General features: G+C 40.6%; 1 long non-coding RNA gene across 1 annotated transcript in view, besides 1 other annotated feature; it reads left to right on the plus strand.

Annotated features, from left to right (window-relative positions):
* LINC02098 (long intergenic non-protein coding RNA 2098) overlaps positions 1 to 21,961 on the plus strand; it is a 32,676-nt gene that overhangs the window by 10,284 nt on the left and 431 nt on the right. The gene's annotated exons all lie outside the window — the stretch shown is intronic.
* Positions 16,885 to 17,179: an enhancer, noted in NCBI's record as "tiled region #14954; K562 Activating non-DNase unmatched - State 24:Quies". NCBI's record gives its function as "activates a minimal TATA promoter and a strong SV40 promoter by Sharpr-MPRA in K562 cells {active_cell/tissue: K562}" and the evidence as "EXISTENCE:reporter gene assay evidence [ECO:0000049][PMID:27701403]".

Consider the following 21,961-nt stretch of genomic DNA (forward strand, 5'->3'; position numbering starts at 1 on the left):
ATTCACCAGCCTAATTAAGCGGAGCTGCAGAATCACTTATGCTTAAATCAGTACTGCTGCTGAGCTGAGGAATTTCACCCAGGTATGACAAGCATGCACTGGGGTTTAAAGTTTATAGGCTAGAATGGAAACCAATAACTGCTTCTTTTATGGTGCATTCCTAAGGCAGGAGACTGTCTGGAGTAGCTACCATTGTAAAGGAGAGAGTGCAGCAGTAGCCAGCACAGCTTCTATACACCTGTCTCCAACCCTTCATCCCTTTCCCTTCCTTCTCCCTGGGAAGTCGGAAGCAGCAGAGAGAGGAAGTAAAGGAATGATGGAAAATTAAACATTCCCTCCCTACACACACACACACACACACACACACACACACACACACACACACACACACATGATCCCTGAACAATGAGTTAAATCTGAATTTGGATAGAGCAGATAAATAGTATTGCATATGAGATATGAGGTTTCAATGGATTTAGCAATCCCAGAATGTGACCACAAATCTATGAAATATGCTTGAGCTGTGATGAGAAGTGGGAAAGGAAGATACAAAAGGACATGTCTGAAAATAGTTATTAGAGAAGAATAATTTTTTTTACTGTCAGAATTCAGGTCTTCAATGAACAAGTTAATCAACAATGAATTAAAAGTAGAGACACTGTCTTCCTGGTGTCTGGAATCTTTTCATGTTGGTCTTTCAGTCCCTGGAATTCACAATAAGGAGAAAATGACTTACAAGATATTTGCTTAGCTGTTGACTTGATCTGGGAATATACCAGAATACAGAGAGGGAACAATATCCAAAATGGCGTGAAACAAAAATAATTTTGGTGAGGGGGTGAAAGGGCCAAGAAAAAAACAAGAAGGAAAGGGAAACTGAAAACCAGAAAACAAGCCTCTGGTGAGTGTCGTAGGAACCGACTGCCTCTGTCTCTTCCTTAATCCACTTCTGCCAAATGAATAGAATTCTCTCCCTGTCTCAGCAGCTCATGTGCGCCTTGAGTTTATATCCATATATCTGTAATGGTGGGCACAGTGTAGGGTGAGAAGAGGAAGAGTAGGAGAGATTATTTAAAAAGAAAGTTTTACAACCAGGAAGTATTGGAAGAGGCAAATCATGGCAACTCTGGATGTTTTTCCTAAAACCCCAGAGAGAACTGACTCTAAATAAGCTAAATTTTTCTCTAGATAAAAAGTCTTTTTCCTCCTGGAGTCCCAACAGTCCCTTGCATCATAAATGAAGCCAGAAAAAAAAAAGTTATGTTGAATAGAACTTGGTAAACTTATCCGTTGCCAAGTTACAACGATGTGACATCCCACCTCTAGCAATAAGAAAAGCTGTAGCTTTGGATCTATGAACACAGAAGTGTTATAATAATTGTTCAGTCACATCCTATTCGCCTAAGAAAAATAACTTGCCTTTATAAATTACTCACTAGCAGGGAGTATCTCAGCACTGAATGAATTTCGCTATATTTTCACTAGTCTTCAAATAAAATCTCTTCATCACAAGACACTGAAATGGACAGGACTATTCAAGAAGTGGAATTTAGGCTGGGAACAGTGGCTCACACCTGTAATCCCAGCACTTTGGGAGTCCAAGGCAGGAGGATCATTTGAGTCCAGGAATAAGAGATCAGCCCAGGCAACATGCTAAGGCCCCATCTCTACAAAAAATGCAAACGTTAGCCAGCATGGCGGTGCAAGCCTATGGTCCCAGCTACTCGGGAGGCTGAGGTGGGAGGATAACTTGAGCCCAGGAGGTTAAGGCTACAGAGAGCTATATAACTGCACTCCAGCCTCGGCGACAGAATTAGACCTTGCCTAAAAAATAAAAAGGTGGAATTTAGAAAGTCAGCATATATTTCCTCTGCTTTTAAAAAATCTCTGCAAAGATATCTTGCATAATTATGCCCACCTCCCACCTCTGTGGATCAAGAGCCACCTTATGTTTGCAAAAACTTAAATTTTACAGAACATTTTAGAAGAGGTCTGATTAGTTGTTTCTGGAACAAGATGGACTTGGAATACCAAAGACACACAGAGAGTAAAGAAGCTTGGGTCTAAGTGAAGGCTGGTCCTTTTATCTTATGTGTAACTTTTGTTTTTGTTTGTTTGTTTGTTTGTTTTTTTAGACAGAGTCCCACTCTGTAGGCCAGGCTGGAGTGCAGTGGCATGAACTCAGCTCACTGCAACCTCCACCTCCCGGGCTCAAGCAATTCTCCTGCCTCAGCCTCCTGAGTAACTGGGATTACAGGCGTGTGCCACCACACCAGGCTAATTTTTTTTGTTTTTTGTATTTTTAGTAGAGATGGGGTTTCACCATGTTGGCCAGGCTGGCCTTGAACTCCTGACCTCAGGCAATCCGCCCACCTCAGCCTCCCAAAGTGCTGGGATTACAGGCGTGAGCCACCGCACCCGGCTCTTATGTGTAACTTTTAACAAGTCATTTAACCCCTCTGACCTTCAATGTATTCATCTGTAAAGTGTAGACAATGTCTTCCCTATATATTATAAATGACTTAGGAAGATTAACCAGTTAATACGTGTATTAAAATTATCATCACTGACCATGCTGCGTCAGTTTCCTATTTCTGATTTCCTACTAACTGCACCAGATTAATCATAAAATTCCACTTTCTTCATGCAATCAAAGAATGCTGATTTTGGGCAGGACAGTATTATTCTGTATCCAAAACATGCCACAGCATAGCCTCAGTCTACCATTTCCACCTTCAATCTCATTTCCCAGCACTCCACAACATGTGTGCTGTGGACTCAGCCTGAACTATCCTACAAAATATCTTTGCCTCCATGTCTTTGTTTACCCCAGAGATAAATAAAGTATACATTCTGCCTTCGCATGTTTGGGCTTTCTCCACACCCTTGAATGTCTCCCTTGGAGTTCACAAGGTAGTGTCCAGGCTTTTGGCTTGAGATGTAACATTATTCATCTTTTTCCTCTCTCCTGTATTGTCTCCTTGAGGAAAGAGATAATGTATTCTGATTGGTCGTTTTCTGTTTTGGGTTTTTATTTTTTGTATTTTTCACAACATAAAGAACAATATTTTGCACACAGCAGATGCTCAATAAATGCCTTTTAAACAATGAATGATTTCAATTTCATATAAATGCAAGACTTGTTCTGTGGACTCCACCTTTCAGAAGAGTGGGTAGAGACAGAGGTCACCTCTTCTTATCTGCCTCGGAAGCTTATTGAAAAAAGAAGTGTGCGGCCCAGAAGAAACAAGGGTGCTGAGAGCCTCTAGGGAGAGCCACCTTGGTCCGAAATGAAGAATGCAGAGGTTTATCCTTCAGCCTTGAGTAATAAATCCCTCAAACCTTGAATTATTTTTCACTATAAACAAGAAGGCATTCTCTGAGTACTTAAAAATTCTTGAGATAGCAGCAGGTCATGGGAAGCCATGCAAAGTCTGCTCAGTGCAGGAATCTGATTCTGGGTGTCCCCCTGGGAAACCAATCTCCTGAACCCAAGGAGATCCTCATCTCTGAATTTTTTCAAATAGCCACAAAGGAGACCTAAGTCGGAAGACTTAACCTCTTCTATGCTCAAGTAAGCCCTTAGCTGCAACTGGAATTCAGAGTATTTCCACTTCAGAATATCACACACATTTCGGAGGAAATGGGGGATTGACTTAGCCTGGAAAGATAAGGCATCAAGGAGATCTCAAAGGAGAAAGCAGTTTTTAGCCTCTCCACACAGTGCATTACTAGGGCAATCACCAAACATTTAACACCTGCACTGTGGCTTCAGCAGGGAGCCCTGGCTTCTGCTTGGTTACCCCTGCTGAATTCCCCTCAGCACAAATGAGAACTGGCTGTGATTTCTTTCTCTTTTTTAAATTTTAAGTTATTGGGTGCATGTGCAGGATGTGCAGGTTTGTTACATAGGTAAATGCGTGCCATGGTGATTTGCTGCACCCGTCACCCCATCACCTAGTTATTAAGCCCAGCATGCATAAGCTGTATTTCCTGATGCTTTTCCCCCTCCGACAGACCCCAGTGTGTGTTGTTCCCTTCCTGTGTCTATGTGTTCACATTGTTCAGCTCCCACTTATAAGTGAGAAGAAGTGATGTTTGGTTTTCTGCTCCTGTGTTAGTTTGCTGAGGATAATGGCTTCCAGCTCCATCCATGTCCTGCAAAGGACATGATCTCATTCCTTTTTACGACTACATAGTATTCCCTGGTGTATATGTACCATGTACCACATTTTCTTTTTCTTTTCTTATTTTATTTTATTTTTTTTAAGAGACAGAGTCTCGCTCTATTGCCAGGCTGGAGTGCAGTGGCGCAATCTCGGCTCATTGCAACCTCTGTCTCCTGGGTTCAAGTGATTCTCCTGCCTCAGACTCCAGAACAGCTGGGATTACAGGTGCGCACCACCACACCCAGCTAATTTTTCATATTTTTAGTAGAGACCGGGTTTCACCATGTTGGCCTGGATCTCCTGACCTCGTGATCCACCCACCTCGGCCTCCCAAAGTGCTGGGATTACAGGCGTGAGCCACCGGGCCCAGCCACCACATTTTCTTTATCCAGTCTATCATTGATGGGCATTTGGGTTGATTCCATAGTTTTGCTGTTGTGAATAATGTTGCAATATAACATACATGTGCATGTATCTTTATAATAGAATGATTTATATTTTGGGGGGTATATACCCAGTAATGGAATTGCAGGGTCAAATGGTATTTCTGGTTCAAGGTCTTTCAGGAGTCACCACACTGTCTTCCACAATGGTTAAACTAAGTTACATTCCCACAAATAGACTTAAGATTACACTACAAGGCTACAGTGACCAAAACAGCATGGTACTGATAGAAAAACAGACACATAGACCAATGGAACAGAGTAGAGAACTCAGAAGTAAGACCGCACATCTACAACCATCTAATCTTTGACAAACCTGACAAAAACAAGCAACGGGGAAATAATTCCTTATTTAATAAATGGTGCTGGGAGAACTGGCTAGCCATGTGCAGAAAATTGGAACTGGACCCCTTCTTTACACCATTTACAAAAATTAAATTAAAATGGATTAAAGTCTTAAATTTACAACCCAAAACTATAAAAGTCCTAGAACAAAATCTAGTAATACTATTCTGGAAATAGGCACAGGAAAGGATTTCACGGCAAATACATAAAAAGCAATTGCAACAAAAGCAAAAATTAACAAATGGGATCTAATTAAAGAGTTTCTGCACAGCAGAAGAAACTATCTCAGAATGGGAGAAAACTTTTGCAGTCTATCCATCTGACAAAGGTCTAATATCCTGAATCTACAAGGAAATTAAACATGTTTATGAGAAAAAAAACCATTAAAAAGTGGGCAAAGGATGTGAACAGACACTTCTCAATAGAAGACATTTAAGCAGTCAACAAACATATGCAAAAAACCTCAACATCACTGATCATTAGAGAAATGCAAATCAAAACCAAAGTAAGATGCCATCTCATGCCAGTCAGAATGGCAATTATTAAAGAGTCACGACTTTTTTTTACAAGCCAAGACATCACTTGTCATTGGTTATAGGTCTCTCACAGCTGCCACTAGATATGGCTATTCTCAGAGCCAGTCCTCACTTCAGATTTCGTATCATTCCTGCCTGTTTTCTACCTTGGCTCCACGTGTAAGGGATTGCTTACCACAGGAACATATGTTTTCCCCCTCCTCTGTATCTGTGTAGAGAAATATGGAACATGTATTTCTAAAGAAGAAAAAAAGAACTTTTTTCAAGTACAAGGCCATTTTAATGCAGATTTAGAAAAGTAAAAGTGAAACTTATGTGAACATTTTGAACCTGCCATTACAGATAAAAAATTAATTCAAGAATCATAACTAGCTGGTAAAGTAAACATTTACACAATTGACACATTATAAAAAAATCAAGCAGCAGCTAGGTGCAGTGGCTCACACCTGTAATCCCAGCATTTTGGGAGGCCAAGGCAGGTGGATCAACTGAGGTCAGGAGTTCTAGACCAGCCTGGCCAACATGGTGAAACCCCATCTCTACTAAAAATACAGAATTAGTCAAGCATAGTGGTGCATGCCTGTAATCCCAGCTGCTTGGGAGGCTGAGGCAGGAGAATCGCTTGAACCTGGGAGGCAGAGGTTACAGTGAGCCAAGATCATGCCACTGCACTCCAGCCTGGGTGACAGAGCAAGATTCCATCTCAAAAAAAAAAAAAAAAATCAAGCATAATAGAAGCAATCAACACACAAATAAATCAACAATAGCTAAAACTCCACACAGTAAAATTGTTGAAAGTGAAACATTGGGCAAAGAATCACCTTATGATTAAACAGACAAAAAATAAATTTGATAGAAATCATTTTAGATAGACTGAAAATAAGCAAAATTATACACAGTAAATATTGATGACAATAATATTTGTTAAAATATCAAAATATTCTCAGAAATTTAGGTAACATTTTTAGACATGAAATTTGGACTTTGTAGAAGTTATGGCCACAAAAGATAGTTTACAATTGCATATGGGTAAAAATTGATTTAAATTCAAAGGAGACATTTTTTATAAAATTTACAATAAAAGGGATTTGTCCAGATGAAAACAAGTTTAGTAAAATAATTTTTTTAAAAAAATTGAGGCAATTTAACTCTGGATACCAAATTGATGAAGGAATTAAATAACCTTAATGTCATTTTCTCCAGAAATTTTTTTTCAGTTAAAAAATTATCAGCACTAGTATATGTAAATAGAGTGTTAAAATATACTCAGTCTAAGAACAGGCAGATGTTAATAACTGAGGTGCAAAAAGGGCCAGATGCACTTCCCATGGGGAGTGAGCACAGAGCCAACTTCTTATATAAAACCAGGAGTCGAAACATCCTTCATACACTCTATACTACCTCCCCTGACGCTTCTTCAATGTCCCCCCTCAATGTTTGTCACCTCAGCCTCTGCTGGGGTGATTCCACTATCATGGATCCTCTCTCCAGAGAATATCCTTAAATGCCAAGCTTGCATTCTGGTAGATTGGTCTTAAATTCTGACACACACACTCTCGCATTCAGCCTCACACATAAAGGTATGGAGGTTGAAGCGGGTAACAAAGTAGTCTTCTGAGATGCAGTGAAGATAATTTATTTCTGGTTATGGAGTCTCATTTGAGTCTTGCAACCCTACAACTGCAGTAGGCTCCAGCACAGAGTGACAAGACAGCCATCCACCCATCTCCCTCTATGAAGAGGAGAAACTGAGACTGGGGAAAGCTGGGTGACTCGTGGGGACTGGCATGACAAGTTGAGGGGGCGAGGGTAATGGAAACATTCATTGTCCTTTGCTAGTACTTCTATGGAAAAACAAATTATCACAGTTAGTTACTCTTAGTCAGCCCTGCACGCAATTTAAAGGCAAGAAATATTTTTCTTTTCTGCCTTTCCATCCCACTTCTCAGAGCTCACTGACACTTCTGGCCTTAAGTTAGCACATTGCCCTGGCTTCATCATCCTGCCGAGGCCGGCCCTTTCCAGCCAGGCACCACATGCTGGCTAACCCTCACCACCATCCTGTTTCTCAGAACTATTTCTCACCTAATTCCCATAGGGCTGCTAAAAGCGCCTGACTTTCTGATTTATAAATCACTAATAGGTGTATATGTGTTACAAAATTTCAGTGTGCTTCTTCTCCAAATGTATTTGCATTTCAACAGAAGACTCCTAAGAATACTTGTCTACTTCAATTTTAAATTAATTTTAATTATTTAATAAAAAGTTATTGTGCTGGTATTAATGGCATGCTAATTATATTTGTAGGAGACATGAGGCAGGGAGTAATTGCTAAATTTGGATGCCAGACTGTAAGAAAATAATTCTGGCAAAAGAAAAATATGTGTGTATATGTGTATGTATGTACATACACCTATGTGTATGTGTGTACATATGTGTATGTGTGTGTACATATATATGCATATATGTGTGTGTGTGTGTGTGTATATATATATATATATACATAAGTATGTATACAGAGAGAAGTCATGCCTCATATCATACCAACTAGGCAACCAACAAACAAAATATTCAATTTCAGATGTATTACAGATTACAGATCTAAATGTTAAGAGTAAAACAATAAACAATCTAGAAGAGTACCTTTGTAACTTCAGAATAGCCATTTTTAAACAGGACACAAAGGCATCAAACATAAAGGTAAAAATCATAAATTATACTATAGAAAAATTAAGAAATTCTGTTTCTCAAAAGACACAACTGAGTGAAAATGTAATCCATAGAGCAGGAGAACGTATTTACAATAAATATATTTTAAAAGGAGTTATACCTAAAATAGATGAAGTACTAAAACAAATTGATAAGACAAAGGCAAATACCCAATTGAAAAAATGCTCAAGAGACTTGAGTAGATACTTCACAAAAGATAACATCAAGATTGCCAATAATCATGTGAAAAAAATCATTCAACTGGATTAATCATTGGTAATTACTAATTAAAACCACAATGTGATACCACAACACACAAGCTACAATAACTACGATGAAAAATTCTAAATGTGGCAAAGAGGTGGAGCGACTAGAAGACTGATACACTGTGCATGGGAGGTTTAGTTGAGTCAACCACATTGGAAAACAGTGTAGCAGTATCTACTGAAACTAAATATGTAAGTGAACTATTGCTTAGTAATATCACTTTTAGTTATATACCCAAGAGAAGTGCAAACGTATGTTCACCAAAATACATTTACTAGAACTTTCATAGCAGCATTATTCATAGTAGCCAAAGTTGGAAATTACCAAAATGCTCACCATCAGTAGAATGGATAAGCATGGTGTATTTTACACCATGGAATACTACACAATGATGAGAATTAATGATCTATAAATCTATGTACCAAGATGCATAATTGTCAAAAACATAATATTAAACAAAGGAAGCCAGTATATATTTGTGATTCTATATACATTCCAAAAGAGCAAAACAAATGTGTTAGAAGTCATAGTAGAGGTTTCTCATGGGGAGATGGGTAATGTCTGGAAAGGAATACAAAGAAGGGCTCTGGGGTGGTGCAAATAGTCTGTTCTTTTAGCTGGGTGCTGGATGCACAGGTGTAGCTGGTAAAAAATTAGCAAATATATTCCTGGAATATGCTCATTTATCTTTATGCATATTATAGTGCATTAAAAATGTTTACAAATAGTAAAGTAAATTTAGGCAGAAAAATATAGTAAGTCCTTACCTGCATGCAAAAACTAATTGCAGACTGGAGAGATGTTGGCTTGAGAGCAACACATGGAAAAAGGCCTGACTGAGGTTTTAATTAACTACAATCTCAACCCAAGTCAAGAGTAGAGTGTGGATGCTAAAATTACTTAAAAAAAAAAAGTTTCACTAGTATAAGAATTAAGTGTATTCAGAATGTAAAATGTTCTCAGGGACTGTACCATACAGCCCTTTCATTTTACATGTGAGAGAATCAGAGGCCACAGAGGACTTGGCTCAATAAAATTTAGATTTTAAGAAAAAGAGTTAGAGCTGAACACCATGCTTTCTGACTTCCTCACCCAGAGCACATTCCTTTAGATCTGTGCTTCCCAAGCCTTCCTGAGCATAAGAATCAACTTTGGAACCCTTAAAAAAAACCTGAATCAGCCCGGCACAGTGGCTCACACCTGTAATCCCAGCACTCTGGGAGGCCAAGGTGGGCAGATCACCTGAGGTCAGGAGTTCGAGACCAGCCTGGCCAACATGGCAAAACCCCCATATCTACTAAAAATACAAAAATTAGCCAGGCGTGGTGGTGCACACCTGTAATCCCAGCTACTCGGGAGGCTGAGACAAGAGAAACGCTTGAACCCAGCAGGCAGAGGTTACAGTGAGTCGAGATCACACCACTGCACTCCAGCCTGGGCAACAGAGTGAGACTCTGTCTCAAAAAAAAAAAAAAAAAAAAAAAAAACTCTGAATCTCTAGGTCATTCTGTACAACAAGCTGAGGACACACTGCTCTGGTCTGTTCCAGACCACTGTACCAGAATTGGAAATGCGATGCTGTCGCTCTACTCATCCTTTCATTCACTGTGATGGATTAGTCAGAGTAGTTTCTACTTCTTGAAAGACAGTTTTTTGGCAGTGGTCAAAAAAGGGAAAAACACACCGAACCCAATTTCCGGTCAGTGCATATCCTCTGAATATGTAATGTTGCAAAATCATATTTCAAGTGAAAAGAAAAACCACACTAGTTTTACAAAATGAAAGAAACCTCATCGTCAGCCAGAAAATAACTAAAATACATAAGCAATAAATTTGACTCTTAGGGACCATGGTGTTCAAAACAACCCACACACCGTATAGGACAAAAACAAAGTTCATTGGCACAGGACGCAGTGGTAAAGAGAGGAGTCTGAGCCCACAGTTTACACAAAGCTGTGTCACTCAAGTGCTGGTCTGCTGGCCCATGGCCTGGCTCCTGCCATCCCAGTCACAGGGCAGAATGGGCAATGATGGAAAGAATGGTTCTGCCCTGCTGAGGATAGGAAAGGGGCCCCAGGGGAAAGCAGGGAAGTAAAAGTACAGACAGGCAGAGGAAAAACATCTCCTTACACAAGAAGAGCTTGCAAATGGAAATTACAAAGTACACGAAGAAAAAGACTCAGAAGAGATTGCCTACAAAATAAAACATTTCAGACAAAAATTCACTCCTGACAGTATTGAAAATACTGACATTAAAATCTTCAAGATCCTTAAAAACTGGAGGTGAAAATTCATGAAATAAAAATGGTGTTATGGAACAAGAGACGTAGATACTGAACACAGCTGGATGATAAAACCAACCAATCCCAAATCATAAAGTGAAAAATACAGTCATTAAAATAAAAACTTGATAGAGGGAACAAAGTCTAAATTGGACATGGATGAAGATATAATTAGCACAGTAAAAGAATGAAGTATTTAGTAAGTGGCACTGGGAGAGCTGTCTATCCTATACATAATATGTATTTTGCATATATTATATGTAATATATAGTATGCATAAATGATTTTTTATTTCATATTATTAATAAAATAAAATATAAATGTTAAAAAATCTTTAAATCTATTAGGAGAAAATATAGGTGCACATATTTAAGATTTCAGAGTAGGGAAAGATTTATCAAAGCAGACACAAAAAGACAAAATCGTAAAGAAAAACTGATAAACCCGACCAATTTAGACTTAAAATTTATGCATAAATAATGGTATATAAAACAAAATTAAAGGCCACTGACTGGAAACATGTTCAGCACATATAAGTCTACACTCAGAATACGAAAATAAATATATTCAACACAAAAATATCAAAGAATGTAATAGAAAAATGGGCAAAGTATCTTCATGTGTCATTCATGGAAAATGACAAACTGAAATGGAAAACTGCATATGTTAAATGCAAGTGAAAACATGCTCACCTATAAAAATGATCAGGAACATTTTTAAGAAGTAAGACACACTTTAAAATCCACCAGACAGGCAAAAATATCAATGTTTAGCCAAGAATGAGAGCAAATCGGAACTCTCATTTAATACTGGCAAGAGTATGCGAATAGAATCATCACAAAGAGCAGTGGCATCACCCCAAAACGTTTATACTCTGTAGCCCAGCCATCCAAGGTGAGAGTGCTTCCCTGTGTGTGTGTTTGGCCTAGAGAAAATCTATGAACTCTTACAGAGTAAAGATAACTATATACAAGGATGTCCCATACAACAATGTTGTAGCAAAAAGGGGAGATAATGCAAACGTCAAGTGGTAGTGAATAAAGTTACATAGTTAGATACATGGATAAATTGTGATATGTTCACATAATAAAATATACTGCGGTTAAAAAGAATAACCTACGTATGTATTGTCATGAATCTGCTTTGAAAATATAATATTGAATGAAAAAGCAAGTTAGAAAACTTTACATGTACTGTATTTAAATAATGCAAATGAATGATATAGCTTTGCAAATATGTATAAACTATATATATTTTTGTATATGTGCATATGTTATAGTTAAAGGGTACATATATAGAACTGGATGCACATCAAATACTTCTTAATCGCTAGCTCTGGAAGGGAAGGGAATGCAAATTAGGAAGGACATCACACGGGTCTCAATTTTACCTATTACGTCTTTGCCTTCAAAAAAGTGTAAAGAAAACTGGAAAAATATTAACAGTTGTTCCATTTTGGTAATGGATAAGTGAGTATTTATTAACTTTTTTTCTTTTATTAAGGGAAAATACCTAAATTCAGGAGCTTAGTGAGGGCTACAGGGTTTCCAAACCTAGAGAATTTAAAAAGGATCTTAAAGAAATAGCATAGAGATGGGTGTGGTGGCTCATGCTTGTAATCCCAGCCATTTGGGAGGCCAAGGCAGCTGGATCACCTGAGGTCAGGAGTTCGAGACCAGCCTGGCCAACATGGTGAAACCCCATCTCTACTAGAAATACAAAAATTAGCTGGGTGTGGTGGCGGGTGCCTGTAATCCCAGCTACTTGGGAGGCCAAACCCAGGGGGCGGAGGTTGCAGTGACCTGAGATCGTGCCACTGCACTCCAGGCCTGGGCGACAATAGCAAGAATCTGTCTCAAAAAACAACAACAACAAACAAGAAGTAGCATATTTATCAGCAGAACAGCTACCATGGTAAGGGCACCCAAGCACATCATATTTGGAAGAAGTGAGAGAACAAGGAGAAGGAAGAAAGGAGGCCATCAACACAAATTCTCTCAGATACTAGAACAGCTGTCACTGACTTGCATTCTTTAGCTCCAAGGTCTCTAATGAAAATCCATATATGGACGTTAGAAGATTAGCCTCAAATTAAGAAAGAATTCTCTAGCAATTACAATTTTGAAAAATTACTTGGCAATCTCAGGAGGTAGTAAGATGCTATCACTGAAGTTAGTCAAATCTAGTGTGAGTACAACCTGGTATGAATACAGCTTTTGGAGTTGAGTAATGCTTGCCATAGTTTGAAGTTTGGCTATGGGGAGAATGGCAAGTATGATAACACCGTTGACTCCAATAACAAGGCATTTTGCAGAGCATTTCAAAAACTCCCTTACTTAATTCTTAAAATCACACTAGAGGTTGGTAGTACTTCATTATTCTCATTTTACAAATGAAGGTGAATATCACATGCGTGGTAGAGATTTGAATTTAGATTGTTCTGACTCTAAGGCCTAAACATGTCATTAAGTTCCTTACGACCACTAGAATGTCAAGATTTATGAAATCAAAGAACTAGATTTCTAGTTGTGAAATTTAAGGTTCACCAAGGTTAGATGTCTTGAAGATGCTTGGGCCAATTCAGAGTCCCTGAAGGCAAACCACTTAAAAGTAAACTTCAAAGGGTACTATTTGGTCTCGTAAAGTCTAGTTTTAATGCTATGAATGTTACTGACTCTACAACATAATAGGAAGTTGCAAAATAAATAAATAAATAAATAAATAAAACCTGACACAATGATAGAGGGATTTGTACAAAAGAAGAAATAAGTACAAAGCCCAGTTCTTCAGACATTCGGTGTCTGTGGGTGTGGGTGTTTCACCATTCAATGATCCCATGACCCTACACAGTCCACAGTACATTTTCAATGTACCCCTTACTCTACTCCTGTCATATGCTCAATCCTTATCACTTGAAAAATCTGTGAAATATTCTATATTCTCATAGCCTCAACCAAACCCTTCCCACACAGCTAACTGCCTGGCATTCATTTTATCTATATCTGAATAAGAGAGAGGTAGATGAGTCAAATATTCCAAAATTGTAACCTAGAGTGTGAAAGAAGTGTAGGTGTTTGCAACACCAAGTTTCGCTTACTCCCCCAGGCGGGGGGACCCTCTGGGGATGACGTGGAATTTGTCCACTTAGCCTCCGTGTCTATGTTGGTTAAGAAGGGCACTTGCCCAAGAATATTGTGTCCAGGTAGAGGAAACAAATTACAAGAAAATTAAACCCAGACCAAAAAGTACCTCTCATTGAACCCTTGTGGCTATGCAGATTCCTCAAAGAGAACCTGAAGGACTCAGTGAGTTCTGGTTCAGAATTTGGGGTCAAGGGTCAAACCCACAACTAAATGTGTTTTGTGCAGTAAGAGATAAAATGGTGGGAAGGGGTGATGTGGGTGCTGCTTTGTCTCAACCACATCCAGTGAAAAGCTCATCACTAGTGTTCTGGGACAGCCCGAAGGAGGACAAATGGGAACAAACACAACCTCTCCAGCTCTGCAGGCAAGAAGCTCTCTTAGCACTGCTTCTCTTGCCTTCCTTCCCTTTCTCTCTCTCACCTCCACCATGATTAGGATGCTGAGCATGTCAGAGGTCATTCAAATGACTTTGCTAATGAAAACTTAATTTCCCCCAAATATGTGCATGGAAATATAATCAGGGTAGGTATCGGATCCCAAAGTTTTGGTCTCCAAGGAGCACATCTCCAGACAGCCACCGAAAGAAGCCAGTTGGTCCGAGCCCAGAGAGGTAGCTGTGCAGAATGTTCAGGGCACTCTGGACCTTTGGGCTTCTCTGTCCGGGACAACTCTGCTGCCCTCACAGTCGAAATGGCTCTTCAGCAGGGATTTCTACTAAGCCCGGAGAGCAATCAGGGCTGGGTACGGAGGAGATTTTATGCATCTGAGCAAGAGCGACTGAAAGAGAAAAGTGTTCTTGGCAGGAGCTTAAATTTCTGATTCTGGAAAAGGATTCTACTCAAATTTCTCAAAATTACAGAATTATAAGTACAAAGTCCAGGCTGGGCATGGTGGCTTACGCCTGTAATCCCAGCACTTTGGGAGGCTGAGGCGTGTGGATCACCTAAGGTCAGGAGTTCGAGACCAGCCTGGCCATCAAGGTGAAACCCCATCTCTACTAAAAATACAAAAATTAGCCAGGCATGGTGGCGCACACCTGTAATCCCACCTACTTGGGAGGCTGAGGCAGGAAAATTGCTTGAACCCAGGAGGTGGAGGTTGCAGTGAGCTGAGATCGCACCACTGCACTCCAGCCTTCGCAACAGAGTGAGGCTGTGTCTCAAAAAATAAAAAAAAAAAGGAAAATAAAAGCACAAAGCCCTATATCATTATTCATTACACAGAAAACTTCCCTGTGCAAAGAAAAAAAAAAAAGTACAAAGTCCTGTGTAATTTTTTGTTACAACCCATCTATGAATTGAGGGCCCTGGTAAGCTCCATCTGAAATCGGCATCATGATATTTGCATACATAAGGAGAGTTCTGAGACCGGGTGCATACTTGTGGTTAAAGTCCCATTAGAATAGCTCCTGTATAGAATACATTGTACACACAGGCTGTAAACTCAGACAGTGATGGGAGAATATCAAGGCTAGGAGCCACATGCGAAGACACTTGCAGGCATGCGTCCGGAGCAAGTAAACCTCTGAGCTTCAATTTTCTCATCTGTAACAATGAAAGAGTCGTACTTACTCTAACCATCTTAGAAAGGTGATTAATTGTGGCAATCAAATAGGGTAATTGCATTGTTCTCCCCAGACTGCCATAACTAAATACCATAGACTGGGTGGCTTAAACAAAGACATTTACCCATTTTTCACAGTTCTGGAGGCTGAAAGTCCAAATCAAGGTGCCAGTGACATGGTTTCTGGTGAGGGCTCTCTTCCTAGATTGCAGACAACCATTGTCTTGCTGCAGCCTCACATGGCAGAGAGATAGAGCTCCTTCTAGTCTCTTCCTCTTCTTATAAGGGTGCTAATCCCATCATGGGACTCTTCTCTTGGGACCTTACCTAAACTGAATTCATGTCTGAAGGGCCTAACCCCCCAATCCCAATACCATCATGATGGGAATTAGGGCTTCGACATATGAATTTGAGGGGGTCACATTCAGTTCATATCAGTAATAAAATGAAAGTTTTATAAGTTATTTAGAACTCTGTAAGTCCACTTGGTATCATCACCACCATTACTAATGTAAGCTTCATATAATATGTTAGAGCCTGACACAATATCCTGTCATTTTCTTTCCTTGAGGATGATGGCATTTTAAGGAAACTTACAAACATGCTGTAATCCCTGTCCCCATCCCTACTTTCCACATGAGGAAACAGATAAAGCTGGGTATAAATTCTACCTTCATATTTTAATAAGTATTGTCCTAGAACAAGTTATTTCACCTCTCTAAGGCTTCGTTTCTTCATTTGTAAAAAAGAGACAATGCTGATAACACCTACATTGTCAGAGCTGTGATGAAGTTTAAATCACACAATGTATGTGACATGCATACACTAGTCCATATTAACACAGAGTAATAGCCTGATATTGTTAGTGTTAAATGTCACTGAATGTTAAATGCTTCTGTTATGTTTTGTTATTATTAATGTTATTGTTAATCACAGAGTTGGACTACATACCAAGTCTCCTGACATCTGGTGTTCTTCAGAAAAAGAAGGCGTTCTAATCTAGCAAAGCCAATTAAGGCTAAGAACAATTTTTTTCTTAATGACAAATCTTACTAGGTCTTTTCCAGCTGTGTTTTTTCCATCTAAACAGTAAAGTTGAGTGCAGGGGAAAGCCAGTTTCTGGAAGTACCCACTAGAAGGGCAGTAAGTAGAATAGGACTCAGGTTACAAACCTCAGTAGGTTTTAGCTGGGCCTTGTTGCTAAGATACCTGTATTTTCCCGAAAACCAAAGGCAATATAAAATCTGGTTTGAAGCCATAGAGAAAACTTCCCTGTGCAAAAAATATCACTGGATCCTCTCTTCTGCAGATAGCTCGCTGTCGAGGGGAGTATTTTCTCACATGGTATTTACCTTCTCTCTGTACTAAGTCTGTTTGTTAGTGTTTAGAATTGCTACTTTACTTTTCTAAAATGAGAACAACAACAACCAAAAAATCAAAGTATGAGTGCCCAGTCAGAACTGGTAGGGTTACTACCGAGTGTTCAATGACCAAGTTCTCTGCCAGAGGGGGACTGAGTGTTTGCCTCATACCCAGGCTTCCTCGGCCTAAGTAGAAAAAGTTAATGGATTAGCCCTGATGAATGACTGAGGCTCTCAGCAGGCATGGGCTCCAAGCCAGAAACAGCCCTATGTACAGACAGCAGCCATGTCTGGGGTTGCTGGACGTGGCTGATAACAGGACCGGAAACCCATCAGAGACACCCACCCCCTTACCTCTGGGCCTCATCAAAATTACCTGCCAAAGAGACTCTGCTCCAGACCAGCACCTTGTCAGACTGTTTTGTAATAGGAAACAGCTGTCCCTGTTGAGAGGCAGAGGTGGAAAGAGTGAAAAGAATGGAGAAAATGAACCATTCATAGCTTTTCTGGTTGTGCAGAACTGAAAGTTGCAATAACATGGCATGTAAAAATGGGAAATTCTAGGGACCCTGTGGGAATGATAGTATCCTCCTCTGAAGGGGCTGATAGGAAATCACAGCTACTGAATTTAAATCAAAGACGACTGTTTATCCTTAATAATGGATTTTGAGTAGAAGCTGAACACTGCTTAGCAACATCCCAGGGATAGCAGAGGCAAAGTGGTAGAGAGTTTTGATCAGGCAATTCAGGTAGGGAGTAGAATCCTCATTGCTGCTTCTTCCTATTTGTTGCTGTAATTTAGTGCCTAGAACAATGGCTATTGCGTGGCATTGTGCTCCACATATACTTGTTGGATGAATAATAAAATTCATGACCTGCATTTTCTAAGGCTGAGCAGAATGAATTTTTTGGTTCATGTGATCACAATTTGAGTCAACGTTCTGTCACTTACTAGCTCTGCTGTCTTAGGAAAGTTCCTCAATATATCCAAATCTTAGTTCACTTTTTTAAAAAATTGGGCTTGAACAGTTACCTTATATTGAGAGGTGACAGCGTGCTGGCAGTCCTCACAGCTCTCGCTGGCTCTCCGCGCCTCCTCTGCCTGGGCTCCCACTTTGGCGGCACTTGAGGAGCCCTTCAGCCCGCCGCTGCACTCTGGGAGCCCCTTTCTGGGCTGGCAAAGGCCGGAGCCGGCTCCCTCAGCTTGCGGGGAGGTGTGGAGGGAGAGGCGCAGGCGGGAACCGGGGCTGCGCGCGGTGCTTGCGGGCCAGCGTGAGTTCCGGGTGGGCGTGGGCTGGGCGGACCCCGCGCTCGGAGCAGCCGGCCGGCCCTACGGGCCCGGGCAGTGACGGGCTTAGCACCTGGGCCAGCAGCTGCTGTGCTCAAGTTCTCGCCGGGCCTTAGCTGCCTTCCCACGGGGCAGGTCTCGGGACCTGCAGCCCACCATGCCTGAGACTCCCCCGACTCCGTGGGCTCCTGTGCGGCCGGAGCCTCTCCAATGAGCGCCGCCCCGTGCTCCACGCGCCCAGTCCCATCCACCACCCAAGGGCTGAAGAGTGAGAGCGCATGGCGCGGGACTGGCAGGCAGCTCCACCTGCAGCCCATTGCGGGATCCACTGGGTGAAGACAGCTGGGCTCCTGAGTCTGGTGGGGCCGTGGAGAACCTTTATGTCTACTAGCTCAGGGATTGTAAATACACCAATCAGCACCCTATGTCTAGCTCAAGGTTTGTAAACAAACCAATCAGCACCCTGTGTCTCAGGGTTTGTGAATGCACCAGTCGGCACTCTGTGTCTAGCTACTCTGGTGGGGCCTTGGAGAACCTTTATGTCTAGCTCAGGGATTGTGGATACACCAATCAGCACTCTGTATCTAGCTCAAGGTTTGTAAACACACCAATCAGCACCCTGTGTCTAGCTCAGGGTTTGTGAATGCACCAATCGACACTCTGTATCTAGCTGCTCTGGTGGGGCCTTGGAGAATCTTTGTGTGGACACTCTGTATCTAACTAATCTAGTGGGGACGTGGAGAACCTTTATGTCTAGCTCAGGGATTGTAAACGCACCAATCAGCACCCTGTCAAAACAGACCACTCGGCGTTACCAATCAGCAGGATGTGGGTGGGGCCAGATAAGAGAATAAAAGCAGGCTGCCCGAGCTAGCAGTGGCAACTCGCTCGGGTCCCCTTCCACACTGTGGAAGCTTTGTTGTTTCGCTCTTTGCAATAAATCCTGCTACTGCTCACTCTTTGGGTCCACCCTGCTTTTATGAGCTGTAACACTCACCATGAAGATCTGCAGCTTCACTCCTGAGCCAGCGAGACTACGAACCCACCAGAAGGAAGAAATTCCAAACACATCCGAACATCAGAAGGAACAAACTCCCGACGTGCCACCTTAAGAGCTGTAACACTCACCGCGAGGGTCCCCGGCTTCATTCTTGAAGTCAGTGAGACCAAGAACCCACCAATTCCGGACACAATATGACTTTAAAGATCACTAAATTAAATAGAATGTGTTCTTAAATATCTTTCATGAAATGTAAGCTCAGTAAATGATAAAAGGGATCATGAACTGTGTGGTCATCCTATCCCACAGTAACTATTAATGTATATAAATGATGCCCAGATTTAACAGGACAGGATAAAAGTAATACCACAAACACTAAGAAATAAATGTTAATATCAGACTGTTACCTTGTTAATAGTGGGGAAGTGTCACATGTTTCAGAGACATCCTAGTTATTTACATCCAGAAGAGGTTTCACCAGGCACATTATATAGAAGAGCCCACCAAGAAACAGTGAGCTGAAGAGACCTTGCATAGCCAGCTAACACCAGAGACAAAGATCATGTGAGAAACTAGAAGCCAGTTGTGAAAGGGGCACCATCAGCATCACTGGTCCTTGCATTTATAAAGAGGCAATTTAGTTTTTTAATTAGATCAGGTTTTCTGACTAATGAAATAATATCTCTGTACAAACATATACATACACACATGCAGATACCCAATACACAGAAAAAAAAAGAGTTAATTGAAGAATAGGAAAGGAATTTAAGATCACTCAAATCGAGATCTTCAAAATTCAAGTATACATATTTCACTCATAACAGAAACAGGAAGCTGTGAATAAGGAACAGTCATAAAACAAGGAAGATGTCTTTGAAATCAAGATTATAATTGCCATCTACATACAGTTGCTTGCTCTATGTCTCTTTCTCTTTCTCTTTCTTTCTCTCTCTCACTCTGAAACTTCCAAATGTCTTCTATTAACAGGACACTTAATTCCAGGTGATGTATGTATCAAATTAGAATTCTAGCCCTTCTATATAGTCTCAGGTTGTCTGTCATCTCTCCCTGAATGTTTCTGAGTCCCCCACCTGCAGTTCCCTGTGGCTTTTTCAGTGAGAATGTGCCACTCAGCTTTTCTAATGGGGTCTTCTGGTGGCCCTGAGTGATGAGATCACTAAGGAAATACTTTAGTGTTGAGAGACTCGTCCTGGGCCCAAACAAAGCCCACCTTCTGATGTCAGAAGGGGCACTTAGAAGTGAATCAGCACTCTGTCCTATCAGGCTTTCTATTTATGAAGAACAAGAGGTGAATAGCACTGTCCTTGCTGTGCACACTCATATTCCTCTGAAGCCCCTTTGATACAATAACTCAGCTGGTTCTGTCTTCCTCTCAGAGCATGGAATCTCTCCTGCCAATGGGGGGACTGTGTGGTTTGAAAAAGCTCCTGTAGGTGGTTCTGATTCAGAACACCCCACCCATCCAGCACTGGATTGAGAACTAGGGGTCAAAAGGCACACTGAACGGTAGACGTGAGGCTTCCTACGTCTCCTATTTCACAGACTTTATGGAAAAGCAGGTTTGGAAATGAATGAACCCAGGATGAAAATTTAAGTCTCTATAAAATATTTTTCATCTACAAAGAAACAACTTTTTCCTCTACCAAAGTTATTTCAGATACATGTGTCTTCATTATGGTCATCTGGGTATTTGTAAGGAATACCACATCCCTTGCATTTCAGGTGTGTTGTGAATTAAAGATTACATTATTTTCCTTTTATCCTTATCATCTCCAAACCTCCTACACAACAATTGCAAAAGAAGTAATACTGCAAACTCTCAAGTCTGTTGTGAGGATTAATTTACTTAGATTACATAAGATATTTAAAACAATAAAAGGTGCTTAATGTATAAAACCTATTATCATAGTTAACTTTTCTTTTAGTCTTATGGCTACATTGTGTAGTAAATATTGTATAATCTGCATTGCATAGTCATACAAAAATGTCATCTTCACAGTACATTTCTAATAACCTGGAAAGCATTCTGTCATTTTCTTAATATTGGCATGATTCTTGGGTTTGGTTAAAAGGGATTAGAAGAGATTCATTCTCCCCATCTCTACTAAAAATACAAAAAAATTAGCCGGGCCTGGTGGCGGGCGCCTGTAGTCCCAGCTACTTGGGAGGCTGAGGCAGGAGAATGGCGTGAACCTGAGAGGCGGAGCTTGCAGTGAGCCGAGATCACGCCACTGCACTCCAGCCTGGGCGACAGAGCAAGACTCTGTCTCAAAAGAAAAAAAAAAAAAAGAAGAAGAAGAAGAGATTCATTCTGTGTTTGGTCTCTTTTCTCCCCTGTTTGAATTTGTCACAGCCCTTTCCCTATACTGAATCTGATTGCTAGGAAACAGTCCGTTGTGAAATATGTCTCAATGTTACACTTATTTGCAATATATTCAGCTTTACTCCATGCTCTGGCATTGTTCTAATGAGATCAATGTATTGCCAAACTGAGTCACTGGTTCCTTCCCTTCTTCCAAAGAAAACAACGGCAATTCCAAGGAATTCTTTTCTTTGTTAGTTTTTAGCCTCCTATTTCATTTCTATTATAAATAGCATCAATTATCTGATGTGTAGCTGACAGAGAAGTTTGCCTCCCATGAATCATTTCATTCAGCTGATTCGGCAAAACATTTGACCATGAACGTGCATGCGTGTGTGTGTGCACAGACTCCAGTGCCTGAGTTTTCGTATAAACTAGATAAAGTCCATTTGTCTCCAGATTAATGATAAACAAGATTAAGAACACAGTTTCTAAGTTTTGTTTCATTTGGGCCTTCTCGAGCTGCATTTAG

This window comes from Homo sapiens, chromosome 11 (genome assembly GCF_000001405.40).
Source record: "Homo sapiens chromosome 11, GRCh38.p14 Primary Assembly".
Taxonomy (NCBI): domain Eukaryota; kingdom Metazoa; phylum Chordata; class Mammalia; order Primates; family Hominidae; genus Homo; species Homo sapiens.